Genomic DNA, 23,782 nt, shown 5'->3' on the forward strand with positions numbered 1-23,782 from the left:
ATTTGGTAGTGGGGGTTGGATGGCATGAGACCACCATTTGTCTTGGAAGAAAAGAGCTACATAACTGGCTGTGAAGAGACATGCTCTGTATTATGTCAACAGGAATGTGATACAGAAAAGCAGGCACTGAGGCTGCTGAATACCTAGCCACTGGGAGAAGCATTTGTACATGGATCATTTTATGTTCTATTTGATGCAGTAAATAGCATGTGTCCTGTGCCCTTCAGGATAATCTCTTTTTATCCTTTTATGTCTAACTGTGTGAAAAACATCACAAAATCAAAATTTGGACAAATATCCTGAACACAACTTAGAGAAGACTTGGCTGCATGAAATAGAAGATTGACTTCTGATGGAAAGAAATAGAACTTGATTTGGGTCTTAGTTATTTTGAACACACTGCCATATACTTTTTTTTTTAATCTATAGGCTGCACATGTTTGTGTAACCATATACCAAAGATAATTATCTGCCTGTAATTTTCATTTTTAACCCATGAAGATACTCTATTAGTCCCTCTTAGCTTCTCTAGGCCTCTTGGAACTCTGGCAAACAAAAAGAGCTGCACTACAGAGGGTCATTAATGTGTAGGTAATCGCTGCATTTATTCTTACTAATCATTCACAATGTAAGACAAGAATATGCAGAGTTGGGTTAGTTTTTGGCCTAGTAACAGTTGAGGTTTAAATCACAGACTTCAAGATTCTTTCATGGAAGGTACCTGATTGTTAGCCACATTGAGCTGCTAAGGCTATTGTAAAAATGCTGGATGCTTCTCCAGAACAAAGAACAAAAATTCCAGGCTCACCTTTCTTTTCTTTTTTTTACTGTCTCTCTCTCATTCTTTTTTTTTTTCTCTCTCTCTCATTCTTTAAAGAAAAAAATTTCACCCTTCATTCAAAAGTCTTAATCTTTAACTCAGTGGTACCTTTCTTTCTAGGTTTCTTTGCTTTGAAGTCGCTGGGATGCACACATTTGGAATGAAGTGGAGGGCAGGTCTGTGAGTGGTTCCCAGATATTCACAGTTTGGCTTAGCCTGGACAGTCAGTTCACAAGAACCCTTTTCTTTGAGTCTAACACCACAGCAACTCAGGACCTCTCACGCAAAACATTTAAAAAGCCAGCCAAACATTTGCAAGCCTCTAACAAAACTTGGGGTCAGATTATTTAAGAGTTTTGGATGAAGGTTCCAGTCAATTACCATTTTAGCTAACCTCTCCCTTGTCATCACCCTTTTTAGGCCCATCCCTTTCTGAGAATGTTGGTTGAGGGCTGGTGCTGTGATTTCCTCTCATATTAGGTCTACTAGCAGGTTTTTACTCTGCGGTGAAGGAAAAACACCACATACTGGCAGAGATGCACAAAATTCCCCACGTTCTATTACTGCGTTAGCTTTTACACATGGGCCAATAACTAACGGAAGGTAGGTCTGAATCCCAAATATGAAACAAAATCCATGTGTAAAGGCCTATAAAGATTGGGATAGATGGGTTGGGAATTGTGGAAGTGTTTCCTAAATATATGAAAGTGTGAGCTGTTCACCAGCTTCAATTTACAGACTCTTGTTCTCTATCTTAGATTAATAGAAATGTTGGTTCATTGGGCTGAGATCTAAAGGTGAATGTGCATGTGTGTTTGTGTAGCAGGGTAGGAGGACAATAGTGTTAAAAGGGAGGAACTGCAAAGGGAGAGAGGGGAGGTGTAGGAGAAGGTTCTAGGAAATATTACCAGTATGTATAAGTAGGTGAGTGTAGCCTGATAAAAAAAATATATGTGTGGTCTAGAGTATACTTTTGTACTTATTCACAAGGTTGCTTATAATCTGAGACTATTTGCCCTGGCGGTTGAGTCTGCAGAAGTTATTTTCTTATCTATTTACATAGAGGCAGCCGATTCTCCCTGTGGGAATGGCAGCCGGTTTTTTTGTGGGTAGGCGTCCTGAAGTGAGGCCCTGAGCCAGAAGCCTCCAGCGTCATGCTGACAAAGCCCAGGAGAGGTAAGCAGCTAGTTACGGTGTCACCACTCCCCAGAGGTGACTGTAAAGATGAGTGGCTTTGCTGTTCATGGAGGCAAGCTGTCCTCCTTTTCTTTTTTTGAAATGAAGTTGAGGCAGGAGCAAGAATGAATTAGGAGCACGAGGAAACGTTTGACTGGGCTGGTCCCTCACTCAGTGAAAAGCCTCCCCTTCAGCCAGAAGCCACTGCACACACCTCGGCTCTCACTCAAACTCCAACTGCCTGTGGCTTCTTCCTATTGACTTAAGCTGGGTTTTGGCTTCTGTTAGCCTCCAGCAAGTTCATAAATAGTACTTAATAAACAAAGGTAGAACATTTCTAATGGATGTCTTCAGTATCTCAAATACTCATAGACAACTTTATATTCTCAAGGTTTCTGTCTTTTACAAAGTGGTAAATATTTTGTTGCTGATGGACACAAATATCAAAAAAAGAGACGCTAGAACAATAAAGAAGGAAGGATTAAATAATCAAAATTATCATTACCTGGTCCAAGTCTCATAATCTTGGGAAGCAGGCCTTTGTACAAAGCTAAAATCCTGTAATGGGAAGGGAAAGAGAAACGTTCTTATTCTGAAAATAAATGGAGTTGTACCTTAGCTTTATTGAGATAGGGACCCAGCATTTAAAAAAATAAATTATTTGGAATTACACACATCTCAAAGCAGACAGCATCTTAGTATTCTCTGCAGCAAACTGGATGCGGGGAAAGAGTTAATGAATTCTTTATTACCCAACTGTGCTGGTCCTGTCCAATCAGAAACATGACTTTCATCAGTGAGATGGTTTTTGCTTTCAAGACAGGTCTTACTTTCAAGACAGCTGTGTATATGGACAGAATGACTTTTGTAATTGAATTTAAAAGACCACAAACTCAGTCTTTACATTAGGAAATACGATGCAGTTTATATCAAAATAATAAAATATTACTTGTTTACTTGAGAAAAAGAGGGGCGAAGAAACAGAAAGTAAGATTTAAAAGAATCAGAAAAATGCACATACTTTAAATTTTTAAAAGTGTTTTTACAGAACTCTATAATTCTCCCAGAAGAATATAATTAGGTGGCAATTTAATGGGATTTACAGCCAGAAGACAATTATTCTTCTGCCTATATATTAGAAGGACATATACAATACTACATTATACAAACTGCCAAGTAGAAAGTTCACCTTGGCATTCTAAGGCAAACAGGCAGCATATTGTCACTTGATGGTGTAAGCACATGTTTACAACATCTTACTATTGTGTTGTCTTGGAAAGTTTGTCATATATATTCGCAGTTTCTTAGACACAAGCTCCACTTAGGAGGGCTTACTGGTTCTCATCTAAATGGAAGGACAATACGGTTCTAACAATACGTGAGCCTCATACATTTATTAAAATAAGAATGTGTTATGTTACCCTTCTTCCTGATAGACTGTTGCCATTGTTTTAAAACAGGTTCTGTACTTGATCTCTCCAGGAACTGGTTGAGGCCCTTGAATCCTACTTTTGGCAACATCAAAAGGGATGTTAATGACTGAGGCTATTGTCCCCGAGAGAAGACCAATCCCAAATTTTCTCCAAAACTCCAAGATTGGATCCTAAAAGAAAAGAAGAATAATATAACAGAAAGGGGAGCGGAAGCCCCTAAATCAGTTAAACACTATAAAGCAATATGTATTTAAGCAGAGCATTGCACTCCCGGCACCCTCCTGTTATTCCAGCGGAACACATTAGGATTTCCTAGGCTGGAACTTGTTTTCTTGACAATCCCATTGGCTATGTTTTTACACATGGTCTAAATTGCTGAAGTACACATTTCCTCACACAGGATTTATAAACACAGTTCATAAAGAAAGACTGGTATGGCATATGGGGATGATTTGTATAATTGGGCTTCACAATGTACTTAGTATTACTGTATCAAAACAGGAGAAATCCAAGCACACTATTAGCTAATTGGCCAGAATATTTTACAAATGACAGCAACTTCCACCATGAAGCCTACTAAAATGCTCATTTGTGTGTGGACCCCCAAATGTTAAATTAAATCAAGGCTACTCGCGGTCTGCTGCTATTGCCCGCCAGGTTTTTTGCATTTATTTTCACGTGTAGCTGATCCACTGTACTGAGAAGTGCTAGCTTCCTGTTATTAACAAACCAACTTGGGGCGGCTGCAAAACAGCCTGTGACATTCTGTGCATTATAAACAGTAGTAAGTCACTGGAGTAATTGGCTGAAGAATTTACAATCCATTGTTTTGGAATCTTGTTCTTCCTCCATGGCAAAGGAAGAAAAGGAGAAAGAGAGAGCGAGAGTGAGTAAAAGAGAAATATTTCTTCTTTCTGTTAGAATTTAGGCCCTTCACGTTGGTCTGATTTGATTTTCCACCCCTCCCTGCACTGCTTTCTGACATCAAAGTATTTAATTAGGTCTTATGTGGGAGTCACTTTCCTTTGGCCTATTTTTGTGCCCTGTGAGCTCACATTATGATTTGTTATAATGAATTTGCTGGGAAGTTCTCATTATGTTGCCAACCTCAGTTCTATGTTTTCAGTCTTCTGTTCTCTGAAGAGAGGTCATATCACATACTATAAGCTGCTGACTCCGACCCCCCACCCTATCTTTTCCCTGCCCTCTCTTTTGATCAATATTTTAGAGGGATCATCACAGAGGAACAATATAGGGCTGTGCCACAACACTATTTTATCCAGAGGGGAAGCATACCATGCTTCAGTTAAACAAGAAAATTCAGGTCTAAGCATTACATGCTTCCAGCCTCTATGAAAGAAGAAAACTTCTGAGGGCTCTGAAATTTTCAACTGAACCAAGAGCCAGTTACCATCACAGAAACTCCTATGTGGCTAAATATAAAAAGCAAGGGTTTGGTAATAATTCCTGGATCTGGGCCATACAGGTGCCGGGGAGGTTTAAAGGGATTTGAAAACCAACAGGGTGTTTCAACAGGAAAAACAATGCAGTGATTGCAGTATGAGTGAGGTGTGTTTAAATAATTCCCTCTCCCCCCATTTTTTCTCTTTTACAAGGAGAGAAAAATGCCTTTATGTTACTCCTCTCCATTATGGCACAGAAGCAGAACTGGAGCTCAGGAGGACAGTGAATTCTAGACCAGCTCTGGTTGTCTGACCTCTGATGAGTCACTGAATCACCCAGAGCCCAGTGTATCCAAGGGAAGTTTTTAACTCCTATCTTACCTCTAAATTGTATCATTTTTCTGAGAAATAAAAACAATAATATAAGTAAAAGTGTTATAAGTGTTGCACAAACCTGGCAGAAAATGAATAGTATTATTATGTAGCCTGTTTTCTAAAGATGCAAACATTCTGTGAAAAGATGCTTTCTTGAAATCCCCGTGACATTGCCAAGCTCTCTTTCTTTTTCAATTAAGGACAAGAATGGAAATGATGATTTGTATACACGTTGTCCTTCTGGGAAGTTTGGGAGACTGGCTGATGTGTTTGCTGAGGACCAGAGTTGGGGATGGAAGGTGAACAAAGAGACTCAATGATGGTCATTGTGCTTGAGACATGGCATTGGAAACCAAAAGGTTAGGTCTCCAGGCCATCGTATCATAGTGTTCACTAGCAGGAGTAAGTGTCCACCTTTGTTTGTATTTATTTATTTGAGATGGAGTCTCACTCTGTTGCCCAGGCTGGAATGCAGTGGCAGGATCTTGGCTCACAGCAACCTCCACCTCCTCGGTTCAGTGGATTTTCCTGCCTCAGCCTCCTGAGTAGCTGGGATTACAGGCATGTGCCACCATACCCAGCTAAATTTTTGTATTTTCAGTAGAGATGGGGTTTCACCACATTGGCCAGGCTGCTCTCGAACTCCTGACCTCAGGTGATTTGCCTGCCTTGGCCTCCCAAAGTGTTGGGATTACAGCCATGAGCCACCGTGCCCGGCCCACCTTTGTTTTCTATACATTTCCCAGCACAACAGTAAGATCCCACAGTGGTTCTCCAATCCAGCTGTGCTTCAGAATCATCTGGCAATTTTACAAAATACAGATGCCTGGGTCCCGCTGCAGACCCATCTCGGGGGTGAGAAGAAGGTGCCTGCAAGTTGTTTAAAAAGCTCTCCAGGGCTCCTGAGGCTGCCAGATAAGGACCCAAGTCTAGGAATCAGTGATTTTGATGTTCCACACTGGCAAAGCAGATGGTCAGTTGCTACCCCTGTGGGCATTCTAGGGAGGAAAAGAATTTGCTTGGGATGGCCATGAGGCTATCACTGACCACCAGCTTCTGGGCCAGTAGGCAGTTTCTTCCTTGACCACACAGCCTGCTTGAATCCAGCATCCCAGGCTGGGCCTGTGTGTGCGAGGACAACTGTCTCAGCTCGCCTCTGCTTTCTTTGTCACATGCCGCTAGCCATCCTCGCATGAATGCAGCATCTCAGATGCCTCTCCCGTTCATCCTCTCCTGGCCACTGCCACCTCTCTGGCTTTAGATCAAGTTCCTGTTACCTTTACCAAGTCTTGCTTCCTTCCTGCCTGCTAGGATCTATTCTTTGCAGTAATATCAGGGTTCTCTTTTTAGAAAAACAGATCTGCTTTTGGTATCTCCCTACTCAAAGACCCTCCATACTTCCTGGATGCGCAGAGAATAAAGACAAACTGCCTCACTTGGCCATTGATTTCTTTCCCACACCCACTATATGCTTCCAACTTATCTTTCTAGCTTCCACTTCTACACCCTACCCCGAATCCATACTATGGTCACACTGGTTAATTCATAATTACTCAAATATACCAAGCACTTTCCCAACTCCACGCTTTTCTTCAAACAATTCCTGCAGCCTAGAATGTCTTTCTCCATCATATTCACCTATAGCAATCTCACTGCCCTTTAAGGTCCTGCTTAAATCCCACTAACCCAAGAAAGTTTTACAGATCCCCTCTCAAAATTGATTTATCCTCCCCTCTACTCCCGAGATACTGTCTGAACAACAGTCCTCACCTTTGCTATGGCCCACTTAGTGTTCAGTATATTTTTGCGTGTATCTCTCTTCCCTGCAGGGCTCTGAGTCTGCACAGCATAGGAGCATGTGTTACTCCTCTTTGTGTCACCTGTTTTGCAGAGTACACTGTAGGTGCTAAATAAACCAAGATGCTCGGAGCTGAAGAAAGCAAGTTGAGTGGGGCTGTCCCCTCTACCCAGACCCCTGTTACCCCTGTGGATGCCTTTGCAAGCCCCTGGGCAGTACCCAGGCAGCATCAGGACGGCTGCCTGCCGCCTTCGGTCCTACCGCCCCACCTCCAGCAGCCCAGAACCCTACATTTCCAGCCTTTCTCTTGGCCTCCTCTCTTCCCACAAGCACCTCACTACAGGTTAAAACATGCCTTCCCCAGCTCACAGAAGAGGTAACAATTTTAATAAAAATAAACGTTGATTGAAGTACATATTTTGTGCCAGATACTGCTAAGTGCAAATGTCTAAGCAATACATCTGTTAATCTTCACAACTTTTGAGGTACGAACTATTATTATTATTCCTATTTTACAAATGAGTTAACTGAAAGGTTAAGTATAAGAAGGGATTTTTTGTTACATCCGAGTGAACCCAAGACTTTGCCTCAAGGCATAGTTTTTCTTCTTATACTCCTAAGAGTTAGTGGGTGGGTTGGTGAGGGAGGTGTCTAAGAACCTTCTGAAATTCGAAGCAATGCTTCTGTATTAGTCCGTTTTCACGCTGCTGATAAAGACATACCTGAGATTGGGCAATTTACAAAAGAAAGAGGTTTAACTGGACTTACAGTTCCACATGGTTGGGGAGGCCTCACAATCATGGCAGAAGGCAAGGAAGAGCAAGTCACATCTTACGTGGATGGCAGCAGGCCAAAAAAAGAGCTTGTGCAGAGAAACTCCCGTGTTTAAAACCATCAGCCTTCATGAAACCCATTCACTATCACGAGAACAGCATGGGAAAACCTGCCTCCATGATTCAACCATCTCCCACTGGGTCCCTCCTACAACATGTGGGAATTATGGGAACTTTAAGATGAGATTTGGGTGGGGACACAAAGCCAAACCATATCAGCTTCTGTGTCTGTGTAGATGAGCTTTCCTGGGGAGTGTGTCTGTTGATTTTATTAGGCTTGTAAAAGCTTGAAAACAATTTCACGAGACGATTTTCCCTACCAATATGTTTATGAAGTAAGGAAAGGGCAGTGCAGGGTTGAAAACAAAGAGGCTAAAAATAGGAAGCCCTAATTTCCACAGGGGTTCTCAGGCAATCCACCTAAGTGAAATGATTTCCACACACATTCCTGCTCTGGAGTCCAGTTACTCACATCTCAACCATATCCATGAACTCTGTGATTCTCAAAGTGTGTTCCCCACACCACCACCATCAGCACCATGTGAGAACTTATTAGAAATCAAAATTGAGGTTCCACCCCAGACCAGTGAATCTGGGAATGGAGCCCAGCTACAGCAATCTATTTGAACAAGTCCTCCAAGTTATTCTGATGGATGGTAAAGTCTGAGAACCACTGCTTAATTAAGTTGATCATTCACCCTCTTTGGATCCTTGGGCTGGATAATTGATGCTCTAAGATTCACCTTAATCATTGACCCTAAGGGGCTCTGGCTGTGTTGGGAAGCATTTTGAAGCTTTCCTTGGTGGAAACAGGGGTTGTTTCTTCAAGGCTACACAACTGAAGGCAATGATATTAACTCTGTTCAACCTATCCTATCCTTAGCTCAGTCCAAAGCCAGAATGGCTATCAGTGGGGTCACCTGATCTGAGTGATACCTATCTCATAGTTTGAGTGGGTCATTGTGTACTGGCTAGCAGCAAGTACAGCATTTCTGCTGATAACCATAATAATAAATAACAAGGAAATTAATAGCAAAAGTAAATAGCAACAAAAATTGCTATACATGTTATAATATTTGTATTTTTTCACACTGTTAAGAGTAATAATGCTATTATTAATAATATTTATTACCAGGCACAATGTCATGTGCAAAAAGTGTACACAAAATGTATATATGATATAACAAACCCTATGAGTTAGGCATATAACACCATTTTACAGGTAAGGACATGAGACTTAAAAAGTTAAGTCAGTTGTCCAAGATCACACTGCTTGTAAGAGGTGGAGCCTGGATTTAAGCCCAGCTCCTTCTGACTCCCAAGCCTATGTTTCTTAACCATTATGTCATATTGCTTCTTGTGACTGATTCATTCATTGTGAATCCAGCCAAAAAATATTTATTGGGTGTCTTTATATGTCCATTCCTACACTGGGTGCTAGAGTTGGATATGAAGGTAAATGGTCCAGAGAGGGGACTGGGAATGGGCATCTAAGCAGCTATTCTAGTTCAATGTGATTAGTACTGAAGTGGGGGTGTGAAAAAAATGGAGGGCAAACATACAGTATGGGGAGGAAATTGCTCCTGGGATTTCACTATCTGAGTCCTGCAAGATGATATCTAGCTTCTGCCTCTTAAAGCTTGGCCAGTCGTTGGCTGTTAAGGAAGTCAACAGAAGACATACTATTATAGTGAGTCACCATATTAGCTGAATGGCTAGCTCTCTGAATTGAGAATCACATGACCTGGAGTATCATTTTGCCTTTTTCCATTAATTTATTTTAAAAACTGGAGGAAGAAGATGAGAATGAGAAGACACTCACTCTGAGTCAGGTACTGGGTTAAGCCCTTTGTATATTTAAGCCCCACAACATCCCAGAGCAGACGAGGTACCTGAGCCATACAGAAATTTCCTACCTTACAAAGGGATATAATCTTGAATTAGTCAAAAGAGAGCTAAAGTTCTATTATTTAGAAGTGAAGAAGCCAAAGTATCGGTGACTCTGAGACTGCCACATGTCAACCAGTTTTAGAGACATGTGCACTTGCCTCTCAGGGCTGCACCCTCATTCAACATGCAAGGAGATCACCTCTTAGGCCAAGAGAAGACTTAAGTGACAGAAAATAAAAATCCCAGAATCACAAGACTAGGAGTGAATTCAGAATGCCACCTAGCCTAAGTCAAGTATTTTGAATGGGTCACATATAAATTATGTAAATGAATATTAATATTGATGAAAAATCTATTATGTTATTAAAAATTTCCAACTTAATTCCATAATTAGCTCCAACTGTCACCAATTAGGAACTGTTTCTTGTACTTAATTGATGTTCCTCACCAATAAGCCTAAACCATTTTACTTCAACACTTTGCTCAATTGCAAGGGCAAGCAACTGTTAACTACTCTTGATGTAATTCATTGGAATTTAAAAACTGTTATTGACTTTGAGAGGCCAAGGCGGGAGGATAGCTTGAAGCCAGGAGTTTGAGACCAGCCTTGGCAATATAGTGAGACTGTCTTTAGAAAAATTAAAAATAAAAATAAAAATAAAATCTGTTACTGCAATAGCCTTTTATTTCCAGTACACTTAAAAAAAGTTCTTTTTAAATATTTATTTATAAGTGGTATGTATTATTTCCTCATCTATGGATCTTTTCCTCTAAATATTTTCTGATTTTTCTTATAAATCATGTGATATAACTAAACTGGAGCTGAGTAGTCTGAAATATTAATGAATATTGCATGCATTGACTTTATTCTGTGATAATAATATGGAAAACAATTCATGCAGGTTTTAAAAATGGTTTAATTCCCTTGCAAACATTTTAAGGCTGAAATTAATATTTCCATTCACAAATGAGAAAACTGAGACAGAGAGAAGGTGTAAGTTTTCCAAAGACACATGGCTAACTAGTAAATACTAGAATTGAGAATTAACACCAGGTTTTCTTGCTAGAATTCTCTGGCTGTTTCCATCACACTGTGTGATCTTTTTGTGAGTGCACAGCTAAAGAGATGTGTTTACCAGCCCCTCTTCAGGGAGATCAATGAGTTTCTCTGACAGAACATATTATTTATAGACTCTTTGTGACTTAACAAGAGACATTAAGAAGTGATCCCAAAACGCTGGCGGCTGTGATGTCCCACAACCTCTAAAAATTCAACATCAGAAACGTGATCATATGACTCAAAACAGTTAACACCCTACACATTTGTAGCTAATTTAACCATATAGTCCAAACTATACAGCCAAGAGCTAAAGACAGCATAAGTAATTTAAGGCAATGGCACTTGAGGAGATAAAATATGTCCATTGAAAGAGGCATATGCCTCCCCTTTTACCTTTCCTGGCATGGGCTCTGACACCTGGCTTCGTTAGCTGGCCAGCTGGCTGCTAGCTTGATAAACAGAAACATCGCTCATCTCAGAGGTCTTTGTGATTAGGGTCTGGGGTCTTTAAGAAGGCATTTCACCCAGCGATATGCCAGAAGAAGGAGGTTAAGGAAGATGAGAAAGCAGGATTTGTCAGCCAGTGAGGAGTGGGGGTGATGAGGGACACAGGGCAGGAAGCCTGCTTCTCTGCAAAAGGCAAGGTTGAGTAGAGGACAGCAATAGGGCTTTTCATTTAAGGGAACTCAGCATTAAAATCTAATCTTGGAATCTTCCCACCTCATGTCAGCCCAAATCACATTTTCTTTGATCTCTGCAATTAAGTCACCCTTTAATTCCTCCTGGTACTGCACCAAATAGGGTGGTCCTACAAGGAGTTACATGATTTTGGGGGTATCACAAAAGTATTTCTTTGCAGAACTCAATTCTGTGACTCATTCCCATGCCCTCTGTAGCACATCACTATCACAATAGGTGAAGTGGAGGTTGCAACGCAGTCCTTCATTTCCTTAAGGCTGCAAGCTGGAGGTGGTACCTACGTGAAGCTCATGCATGAAGGAACTGCAGAAGATTTATTGTAGTAATACATTTTTGAAAATTTCATTTTTTTGAATCATTTTGCACATCTTAATTTCAGAAAATCACTTTAAAATTTCCCATTTTATCCTGCTGAACAAGGCACTGAATGAAAGATGGATGAGAGCGTGGTTAGAGGGATTCTCCTCTGGCTGAACAGAATGGCTCTGCTGTGAAAGATGTGAACATATGGCAGCCTGAAGAAAGGTTGGATGAACATGGGAGAAAATGTGGAAGGCTTGCTCAATGGATCTGCTGATGACAGGCAGGGAGGGGAAGCTAGGATGACAGATGAGAGACTCAACATTAAAAATTATCATCATGGGCTTTAGCACTAGACTGAACATACAAGATTAAATTTAAGCATAGTGAATGTAAAATTTTGAATTTAGACAACTATACAAGTTTAAGATGAGGGAGATGACTTGATTATAGTTCATGTAATCTAGGGATTTTAACTGATCATAAAGATTTATACATATCACATATCTAGTTTTTTATTTTTATTTATTTATTTTTTAAGACAGGCTCTTGTTTTGTCGCCCAGCCTGGAGTGCAGTGGTGCAATCTTAGCACACTGTAACCACAACCTCCTGGGCTCAAGCGATCCTCCCACCTCAGCTTCCCGAGTAGCTGGACTACAGGTGTGAGCCAGCATGCTCAACTAATTTTTTAATTTAAAAAAAATGTTTTGGAGAGACAGCGTCTCACTATGTTGCCTAGGCTGGTCTTTAAATGAATAAAAAACCCATCAGCCCCACAAAAGTTCCACCAAAATTTTTTAAAAAATTATTATTATACTTTAAGTTCTAGGGTACATGTGCACAATGTGCAGGTTTGATACATAGGTATACATGTGCCATGTTGGTTTGCTGCACCCATCAACTCATCATTTACATTAGGTATTTGTCCTAATGCTATCCCTCCCCCAGCCCCCCAACCCCTGACAGGCCCCAGTGTGTGATGTTCCCCGCCCTGTGTCCAAGTGATCTCATTGTTCAATTCCCACCTGTGAGTGAGAACATGCGGTGTTTGGTTTTCTGTCCTTGTGATAGTTTGGTCAGAATGACGGTTTCCAGCTTCAACCACGTCCCTGCAAAGGACATGAACTCATCCCTTTTTATGGCTGCATAGTATTCCATGGTGTATATGTGCCACATTTTCTTAATCCAGTCTATCATTGATGGACATTTGGGTTGGTTCCAAGTCTTTGCTATTGTGAATAGTGCTGCAATAAACATATGTGTGCATGTGTCTTTATAGTAGCATGATTTATAATCCTTTAGGTATATACCCAGTAACAAGATGGCTGGGTCAAATGGTAATTCTAGTTCTAGATCCTTGAGGAATCGCCACTGTCTTCCACAATGGTTGAACTAATTTACACTCCCACCAACAGTGTAAAAGCGTTCCTATTTCTCCACATCCTTTCCAGCATCTCTTGTTTCCTGACTTTTTAATGATTGCCATTCTAACTGGTGTGAGATGGTATCTCACTGTGGTTTTGATTTGCATTTCTCTGATGACCAGTGATGATGAGCATTTTTTCATGTATCTGTTGGCTGCATAAATGTCTTCTTCTGAGAAGTGTCTAATTCATATCCTTTGCCCACTTTTTCATGAGGTTGTTTTTTTCTTGTAAATTTGTTTGAGTTCTTTGTAGATTCTGGATATTAGCCCTTTGTCGGATGGGTTGATTGCAAAAATTTTCTCCCATTCTGTAGGTTGCCTGTTCTCTCTGATGGTAGTTTCTTTTGCCATGCAGAAGCTCTTTAGTTTAATTAGATCCCATTTGTCAGTTTTGGCTTTTCTTGCCATTGCTTTTGGTGTTTTCGTCATGCAGTCCTTGCCCATGCCTGTGTCCTGAATGGTACTGCCTAGGTTTTCTTCTAGGGTTTTTATGGTTTTAGTTCTAACATGTAAGTCTTTAATCCATCTTGAATTAATTTTTGCATAAGGTATAAGGAAGGGATCCAGTTTCAGCTTTCTACATATGGCTAGCCTGTTTTCCCAGCGCACCATTTATTAAATAGGGAATCCTTTCCCCATTTCTTGTTTTTGTCAGGTTTGTCAAAGATCAGATGGTTGTAGATGTGTGGTGTTATTTCTGAGGCCTCTGTTCTGTTCCATTGGTCTATATCTCTGTTTTGGTACCAGTACCATGCTGTTTGGGTTACTGTAGCCTTGTAGTATAGTTTGAAGTCAGGTAGCGTGATGTCTCCAGCTTTATTCTTTTGGCTTAGGATTGTCTTGGCAATGCAGGCTCTTTTTCGGTTCCATATGAATTTTAAAGTAGTTTTTTCCAATTGTGTGAAGAAAGTCATCGGTAGCTTGATGGGGATGGCATTGAATCTATAAATTACTTTGGGCAGTATGGCCATTTTCACGATATTGATTCTTCCTATCCATGAGCATGGAATATGCTTCCATTTGTTTGTGTCCTCTTTTATTTCCTTGGGCAGTGGTTTGTAGTTCTCCTTGAAGAGGTCCTTCACATTCCTTGTAAGTTTGATTCCTAGGTATTTTATTCTCTTTGTAGCAATTGCAAATGGGAGTTCTCTCATGATTTGGCTCTCTGTCTGTTAATGGAGTATAGGAATGCTTGTGATTTTTGCACATTGATTTTGTATCCTGAGACTTTCCTGAATTTGCTTATCAGTTTAAGGAGATTTTGGGCTGAGACGATGGGGTTTTCTAAATATACAATCATGTCATCTGCAAACAGAGACAATTTGACTTCCTCATTTTCTAATTGAATACCCTTTATTTCTTTCTCTTGCCTGACTGCCCTGGTCAGAACTTCCAACACTATGTTGAACAGGAGTGGTGACAGAGGGCATCCTTGTCTTGTGCCGGTTTTCAAAGGGAATGCTTCCAGTTTTTGCCCATTCAGTATGATATTGGCTGTGGGTTTGTCATAAATAGTTCTTATTATTTTGAGATACATTCCATCAATACCTAGTTTATTGAGAGTGTTTAGCATGAAGGGCTGTTGAATTCTGTCGAAGGCCTTTTCTGCATCTATTGAGATAATCATGTGGTTTTTGTCATTAGTTCTGTTTATGTGATGGATTATGTTTATTGATTTGCATATGTTGAACCAGCCTTGCATCCTAGGGATGAAGCTGACTTGATCATGGTGGATAAACTTTTTGATGTGCTGCTGGATTCGGTTTGCCAGTATTTTATTGAGGATTTTTGCATCAATGTTCATCAGGGATACTGGTCTGAAATTCTCTTTTTTTGTTGTGTCTCTGCCAGGCTTTGGTATCAGGATGATGCTGGCCTCATAAAATGCGTTAGGGAGGATTCCCTCTTTTTCTATTGATTGGAATAGTTTCAGAAGGAATGGTACCAGCTCCTCTTTGTACCTCTGGTAGAATTCAGCTGTGAATCCATCTGGTCCTGGACTTTTTTTGGTTGGTAGGCTATTACTTACTGCCTCAATTTCAGAGCCTATTATTGGTCTATTCAGAGATTCAAATTCTTCCTGGTTTAGTCTTGGGAGGGTGTATGTGTCCAGGAATTTATCCATTTCTTCTAGATTTTCTAGTTTATTTGCGTAGAGGTGTTTATAGTATTCTCTGATGGTAGTTTGTATTTCTGTGGGATCGGTGCTGATATCCCCTTTATCATTTTTTATTGCATCTATTTGATTCTTCTCTCTTTTCTTCTTTATTAGTCTTGCTAGCCGTACATCTATTTTGTTGATCTTTTCAAAAAACGAGCTCCTGGATTCATTGGTTTTTTGAAGGGTTTTTTTGTATCTCTATCTCCTTCAGTTCTGCTCCGATTGTAGTTATTTCTTGCCTTTTGCTAGCTTTCGAATGTGTTTGCTCTTCATTCTCTCGTTCTTTTAATTGTGATGTTAGGGTGTCGATTTTAGATCTTTCCTGCTTTCTCTTGTGGGCATTTAGTGCTATAAATTTCCCTGTACACACCGCTTTAAATGTGTCCCAGAGATTCTGGTATGTTGTGTCTTTGTTCTCATTGGTTTCAAAGAACATCTTTATTTCTGCCTTCATTTCGTTATTTACCTAGTAGTCACTCAGGAGCAAGTTGTTCAGTTTCCATGTACTTGTGCAGTTTTGAGTGAGTTTCTTAATCCTGAGTTCTAATTTGATTGCACTGTGGTCTGAGAGACAGTTTGTTGTGATTTTTGTTCCTTTACATTTGCTGAGGAGTGCTTTACTTCCAACTATGTGGTCAACTACAGAATAAGTGTGATGTGGTGCTGAGAAGAATGTATATTCTGTTGATTTAGGATGGAGAGTTCTATAGATGTCTATTAAGTCTGCTTGTTGCAGAGCTGAGTTCAGGTCCTGGATATGCTTGTTAACCTTCTGTCTCGTTGATCTGTCTAATATTGACAGTGGGGTGTTAAAGTCTCCCATTATTATTTTGTGGGAGTCTAAGTCTCTTTGTAGGTCTCTAAGGACTTGCTTTATGAATCTGGGTGCTCCTGTATTGGGTGCACATATACTTAGGATACTTAGCTCTTCTTGTTGAATTGATCCCTTTACCATTATGTAATGGCCTTCTTTGTCTCTTTTGATCTTTGTTGGTTCAAAGTCTGTTTTATCTGAGACTAGGATTGCAAGCCCTACTTTTTTTTTTTGCTTTCCATTTGCTTGGTAGATCTTCCTCCATCCCTTTATTTTGAGCCTATGTGCATCTTTGCATGTGAGATGGGTCTCCTGAATACAGCACACTGATGGATCTTGACTCTTTATCCAATTTGCCAGTCTGTGTCTTTTAATTAGAGCATTTAGTCCATTTACATTTAAGGTTAATATTGTTATATGTGAATTTGATCCTATCATTATGATGTTAGCTGGCTACTTTGCCCGTTAATTGATGCAGTTTCTTCATAGCATCAATGGTCTTTACAATTTGGCATGTTTTTGCAGTGGCTGGTACCGGTTGTTTCTTTCCACGTTTAGTGCTTCCTTCAGGAGCTCTTGTAAGGCAGGCCTGGTGGTGACAAAATCTCTTGGCATTTGCTTGTCTGTAAAGTATTTTATTTCTCCTTCAGTTATGAAGCTTAGTTTGGCTGGATATGAAATTCTGGGTTGAAAACTCCTTTCTTTAAGAATGTTGAATATTGGCTCCCACTCTCTTCTGGCTTGTAGGTTTCTGCCAAGAAATCTGCTGTTAATATGATGGGCTTCCTTTTCTGGGTAACCTGACCTTTCTCTCTGGCTGCCCTTAACACCTTTTCCTTCATTTCAACCTTGGTGAATCTGACAATTATGTGTCTTGGGGTTGCTCTTCTTGAGGAGTATTTTTGTGGTGTTCTCTGTATTTCCTGAATTTGAATGTTGGCCTGCCTTGCTAGGTTGGGGAAGTTCTCCTGAATAATATCGTGAAGAGTGTTTTCCAACTTGGTTCCATTCTTCCCATCACTTTCAGGTACACCAATCAAACGTAAATTTGGTCTTTTCACATAGTCCCATATTTCTTGGAGGCTTTCTTCTTTTCTTTTTACTCTTTTTTTCTCTAACCTGGTCTTCTCACTTAATTTCATTAATTTGATCTTCAGTCACTGATACCCTTTCTTCCACTTGATCGAATTGGCTATTGAAGCTTGTGCATGCATCATGAAGTTCTCGTGCCATGGTTTTCAGCTGCATCAGGTCATTTAAGGTCTTCTCTACACTGTTTATTCTAGTTAGCCATTCGTCTAATCTTTTTTCAAGGTTTTTAGCTTCCTTGCGATGGGTTCGAATATCCTCGTTTAGCTCAGAGAAGTTTGTTATTACTGACCTTCTGAAGCCACTTCTCTTCTGTCAACTCGTCAAACTCATTCTCCGTTCAGCTTTGTTCTGTTGCTGGCAAGGAGCTGCGATCTTTTGGAGGAGTAGAAGCACTCTGATTTTTAGAATTTTCTGCTTTTCTGATCTGGTTTCTCCCCATCTTTGTGGTTTTATCTGCTTTTGGTCTTTGATGTTGGTGACCTACAGATGGGGTTTTGGTGTAGATGACCTTTTTTTTTTTTTTAATTTGGATGCTATTCCTTTCTGTTTGTTAGTTTTCCTTCTAACAGTCAGGTCCCTCAGCTGCAGGTCTGTTGGAGTTTGCTGGAGGTCCACTCCAGACCCTGTTTGCCTGGGTATCACCAGCGGAGGCTGAAGAACAGCAAATATTGCAGAACAGCAAATATTGCTGCCTGGTCCTTCCTCTGGAAGCTTCAACCCAGAGGGGTGGCCACCTATATGAGGGGTCTGTGGGTCCCTTCTGGGAGGTGTCTCCCAGTTAGGCTACACAGGGATCAGGGACCCACTTGAGGAGGCAGTCTGTCTGTTCTCAGAGCTCAAACGCCATGCTGGGAGAACAACTGCTCTTTTCAGAGCTGTCAGACAGGGACATTTAAGTCTGCAGAAGTTGTCTGCTGCCTTTTATTCAGCTATGCCTTACCCACAGAGGTGGAGTCTAGAGGCAGGAGGCCTCGTTGAGCTGTGGTGGGCTCCACCCAGTTCAAGCTTCCTGGCCGCTTTGTTTACCTACTCAAGCCTAAGCGATGGTGGATGTCCCTCCCCCAGCCAGGCTGCCACCTTGCAGATCGATCTCAGACTGCTGCACTAACAGTGAGCAAGGCTTTGTGGGCGTGGGACCCACCGAGCCAGGAATGGGGGAGAATCACCTTGTCTGCAGGTTGCTAAGACCTTGGGAAAAGTGCAGTATTTGGGCGGGAGTGCCCCGTTTTTCCAGATAGTCTGTCACGGCTTCCCTTGGCTAGGAAAGGGAAATCTCCCAACCCCTTGCACTTCCCGGGTGAGGCGACTCCCTGTCCTGCTTCAGTTCACCCTCCGTGGGCTGCACCCACTGTCCAACCAGTCCCAGTGAGATGAACCAGGTGCCTCAGTTGGAAATGCAGAAATCACCCGTCTTCTGAGTTGATCACAATGGGAGTGCAGACTGGAGCTGTTCCTATTCGGCCATCTTGGAACACCCCACCAAGTTCCACCAAAATTTAATACAATACCACCTCAAGCTATCCTCCTACCACAGCCTCCCAAAGTGCGAGGATTACAGGCATGAGTCACTGTGCCCAGACCATGCCAACTTCTTGATGTAAAAATAAAACACATTCTTCCTCCCTTCCTTTCCATCCCCTTCTTCCAACAAATCCCCCACAATCTATTTGTGCACAGTCTTTGGCTGCATTTAAGAAAGGTGTGTGTTCATGTCACAGGAATGCTTGATCCTAGTGTACTCTGCATTTGATCAATGAAAAACTGCAGTATTCTGTTTAGATCTGACATTGATATGGACAAATGTGATGCACTATAGTAGGACAGATGGGCTGCTCAGAGGACTGGAAGCCATGTCACCAGAAGAGTGAATGGGCAGCTGTGGGTATACTCTGAAGAAAGAAAGACCCAAAGGGTCATGTGTCCACATATTTGAAGAAGTATGTAGAGTACAATGATTAAGAGCATGGGCCCTGGGGTCAGATTGCCTAGGGTCAGGCCTTTGAAAGGAGTTAGTGGAGACAGGCAACAGGCTCTCACACTCTTTTTGAAGACTTGTTCAAAATATCTAAAGAAAAGGGATATGCCATGTCACCCTCCTCTTGTGTATTTACTGAGCCTGACACATCATAGGTATGTAATAAATGCCTTAGCTTCCTTTAATAAAACATAATAAACAAAGAACCAAGGTTTCAGAAGCAAATTACAAAGGAGGCAGATACACACACTGGTTAAGCACCTGGTAGCAACCGCAAGGCAAATAATAGCAGCTCATCATTGTCTTGCCCACAGCTGGGTATGGTGGTCATGAAAATGATGTGGTGCATTGGAATCATAGTTGCCTCCTGGTAACTGAACAAGGAGGCAGCTTAAGTGAGAGTGAACTGCCTTTTTTTTAAGAGGAAATTTGCATTTTAGCTATTGTTAGTTCTAATAGGTCCAAGTCAGCTTACAAGTAGAGTCAGCTCTCACTATACAACTTTCATTCCTTCTAATCTTGGCTCTCTTTTGTTGTTTTGTTCATAAACTTTGACAAAAACATTTTCCTCCCAATGTCATGGTATCCTGCTATTTTGTCCCCAGTGAAAATATCTGCTATTGAAGCTTAATTAAAAAATACATTTGTTTTTACTTCACTGCTATCAGAGGAATCTATTACAGTGTTTGTTTTCTCTTCATGCGAGATAATTTAGGGAAATGCTAGCTCCCCACTCCACAGAAGGTCACTAACTAAAATGAGATGCTTCAACTGATAAGCATTCTTTAAGGAATGTGGAGTATTCCTAAGATCCTATCCTTGCAGGGCTCTGGGCTTTGGAATGAAATCAAAGTCTTGTTAAAACCTCTGCATCTAAATGTAGCCATTCAGAAAATAGCCATGAAAATTCCTTTTTTTCCTCTAAGTTGTCTGTTCTTTAAAGTATTGTAAAATGTAGAATAATTTTAAAGGTTTTACCCACTTAGCTCAAATTATAAAATATACATATATATAATGTCAAAATGGATTATGGTTTAGGCATAATAGTTATCTCTTGATTATATCATCTCCTGTATATATTTCACAGATATAATATGTATTGTATATACCTATATATTCAGGTGGTTAGATAATACCACCTAGGAATTAATTATGTATTGAGTATTATATAGAATACAGGAAAGTATTTATATATTTCCTTGGGAACCCAGCAGGATATTTCTGTTGTAGTGTGTTCTCTCTGTTCCTTGACTCAATAAAGGCACTGACCCCAAGGAAAACTAGCAAGCCAGGTTCCCAAAACAAAACTCTAGAGATTGAGAAACCAGAGGGAGCACACTGAGATGCTTCAACATGGAGGTAGAGAGATAATCAAGAAGAAGTCTTTGAACCAAGCTAGTTCAATGAGATTATACCTGTGAACTTCCATACATGAAACTTTCCCATGTCCATTTAGTTCCACTTATGTAATATGTCTGTTCCATATAACCCCCAGTTAAATAATTTAAGGGGAGTAAGTTGCCTTTATATTATGTGCCTAAAACATTCTGGTCAAGCTAACCTCTGCAGCCTCCATTTCTCCTTCTCTACTGGTTCTCCATGCACCAGCAACACTCATTCTTAATCTTCTCTGGGGTCCCTGAGTTTCTTTCTGCTTCAGGATAGTCACATTCCTGTTCTTTCTGCCTGGTTCATTCAACCTCTTCAGGTTGGCGTGGTTTGTCCTCATCCTTCAGCCCAAGCCCAAACATTGTTTCCAAAAAAGACCTTTCTAGCCAGGTTCGGTGGCTCATCCCTGTAATCCCAGCACTTTGGTAGGCCGAGGCAGGAGGATCACTTGAGCCCAGGAGTTGGAGATCAGTCTGGGCAACACAGGGAGATCCTGTCTCCACAAAAAAAAAAAAAAAAAAAAAGAAAGAAAGAAAAAGAAAAAAAAAGAAAACGGACTTCCCTACACCATCTCCCTGCCCCATCATGGGTCTAGATTAGAATACTTGTTTATAAATTCTCACAGCTTGATAGTTATCTTGCATGGCACTTAGCACAATTGGAATGATTCAGTTCCTTGTGCAATGATTTGTTTATTGTCTATTTCCTCTATTAGACTGTAAACGTCATTAAGAGAGGAGCAATGCTGATGCTTCCTAAGAGGGTGCCCAACATACAGTAGATGCACCATGAATACTTTTGGAATGAATGAATAGAATAGACCCACTGAGAACCTAAAGCTACTTGCACCTCATTTCCATCCACTTGGGGAGTGTCTGACTGGCCTGAAATTTATTTAAGGAAGTATTTGAACCCCTGGCTCTCTGCTCTCTGCCCTCTCCCATACCCCCTCCCCGCTACATATCCCCACTAGGGAGTCTGTGCAAACTGCCAATGAAAGATACCCCTTTTTACCACAGAATATTGTCACATATCCTGGAATTTTATAGATAATAGGTACTTGTAGTTTTTCCCCAGTGGTTTCTAGAAAGGAGAGTTTTTCTTAATGAAACTTTAATGTTCCTGCCCTTCCCATTACCGGATGATTGGTAAGACTAATGATGGAGTAAGAGAGAATCAGAAAATTAAATGGTCATAAATTAAATCATACTATGCTCTAATTCTATTGAGATTCTTCTTTTCAAAATATAAACAGCTCTGTCTAAGTTCTCCCCTTGAACCCAAAGGTGCATTTTTCATTCAGCTCAGGGCACACCTTAGGGGAGGATGTAGCTCTCAATCATGAAACTAACACATTTCCACATTTCTTCTGATAAAATGAAGTGGGTCTGGCACCACCCTCAGACATTCTACAGAATTTACCTTGGAAGAAAATAAATATGTTTGACTTAATGCTGTCTGTGGTGAATGACCACAGGGACAGGTCTAAATGGTTTATTAAATAAGAAAGATTGAACATTTGAAAAATTGTTCTCTTTTAAAATATTTCTAACCCACACATGTAATTTATATCATGGCAAAATTCAACACAAAAGGTCTATTGTTTTCTGCAAAATAACCTGCAAACATCCTTAATTAGGATGCAAACTGAAAGCACCATTTAATACTGTTGACAGCCATTAGCTTTAGACAGCTGTTTCCACTATTATTTTATTTATGGAAACATATGAAAAGAAGTAAATATGGAACTAGAAGACAAAATTATTCATGACATGTAGTATTTTAATGATTTTTATTTGCATGTCAACATCACAAATAATACACTCTAAACATCCCCAACTTGGAATGGTAATGAAAGAAACTGTTTTTGCAATGAGAGTTTATTCCCATGGATATTCGAAAAAGATGTCAGCATTTAAGTTAATCAGTATCTGTTTCTAGTGTGCTTTACTTTGAGAAGTGATGGCCTGTTTCTGGGGAGAAAGTATAATTCTTTATCCTGACACTCCATTCCATTTACTACAAGATGTAAATGAATGCCTCCATTAAGTGAATTCCATGGTCAGTCAATATCCAAAGCAGTCTTTCCTCTATTGTAGTCACTTATTCACCCTTCAATAGGAACAGCTAGCTCCTAAAAATAAATCTGAAAGAACATAACATAGGGCATCATTTTCAAACTGGTAATGACCCATTCTTCCAGGGCCGTGTCTCATAATTCGGTGTTTCTATGGATTACAGACCGAGGATACGAAAGGGAGGATCAGGTTATGGGTCTGAGCATGGCAGAAAGAGAATCCAGAGAATCCGGTTACGTTATCTGGACATTTCAGACACTTCATTTATTTAAATTTTAGTAACCACTTTTAAAGAGATAATTTATGTGTGACAAAATACAAGGTAAGACTGGGTGCGGTGGCTAACGCCTGTAATCCCAGCATTCTGGGACGGTGAGGTGGGTGGATCATGAGGTCAGGAGTTCGAGACCAGCCTGACCAACACGGTGAAACCCTGTCTCTACTAAAAATATAAAAATTAGCTAGGCATGTTGGTGCGCACCTGTAATCCCAGCTACTCAGGAGGCTGAGGCAGGAGAATCGCTTGAACCCGGGAGGCGGAGGTTGCAGTGAGCCAAGATAGTGCCACTGCACTCCAGCCTGGGCAACAGAGCGAGACTCCGTCTCAAAAAAAAAAAAAAACAAAAAAGAGAAAACAAAAACAAACAAAAAAAACAAGGTAAAATGTAGAGTGAAAGCATTACATGATACAGTCGAAAGAGTTCCGGTCTCTGGTTCTTTCCCCACCCCTGTCATATGGCTTCAGGTGAATTACTTCAGTAACTCATCTCTGGGCCGTAACTTCCTGTTAGGTTTCCTTATCTGAAAATGGCAGTTATTGTGACAAGGATCAGGCAAAATCATGGAGTCTATAAAAATGATTTTAATAGCATAAAGTGCCACAGAAAGTCGGGATATTTTTCTGTGATAACTTAAAAAATATATGTACCATAGATCACTAATCTGAAGTTAAAACGTCAAGAACTTCAAGGTTGGATAGCTGACCTGAGTTACCGGGGCTTACCGTTATTTTTTTTTTGAGACGGATCTCACTCTGTCGCCCAGGCTGGGTGCAATCT

At 40.5% G+C, this 23,782-nt stretch overlaps 1 protein-coding gene across 5 annotated transcripts in view, besides 1 other annotated feature; it reads right to left on the reverse strand.

The window, feature by feature from the left end:
* Positions 1-23,782, reverse strand: part of SLC25A21 (solute carrier family 25 member 21) — a 494,686-nt gene that overhangs the window by 3,406 nt on the left and 467,498 nt on the right. For all 5 annotated transcript variants that reach the window (XM_047431871.1, NM_001171170.2, NM_030631.4 and 2 more), the window contains 2 exons: positions 3,418-3,599; positions 2,502-2,554 (listed from right to left, as the gene is read on the reverse strand). In XM_047431871.1, the coding sequence (XP_047287827.1) occupies positions 2,502-2,554; positions 3,418-3,599 (235 nt within the window). The remainder of the gene's footprint in view (positions 1-2,501; positions 2,555-3,417; positions 3,600-23,782) is intronic.
* Positions 3,257-3,758: an enhancer, noted in NCBI's record as "NANOG hESC enhancer chr14:37153788-37154289 (GRCh37/hg19 assembly coordinates)". NCBI's record gives its function as "activates a minimal SCP1, AML or CMV promoter by ChIP-STARR-seq in primed H9 embryonic stem cells {active_cell/tissue: H9 hESC(primed)}" and the evidence as "EXISTENCE:reporter gene assay evidence [ECO:0000049][PMID:30033119]".

This window comes from Homo sapiens, chromosome 14, assembly GCF_000001405.40.
Source record: "Homo sapiens chromosome 14, GRCh38.p14 Primary Assembly".
Classification (NCBI taxonomy): Eukaryota; Metazoa; Chordata; class Mammalia; order Primates; family Hominidae; genus Homo; species Homo sapiens.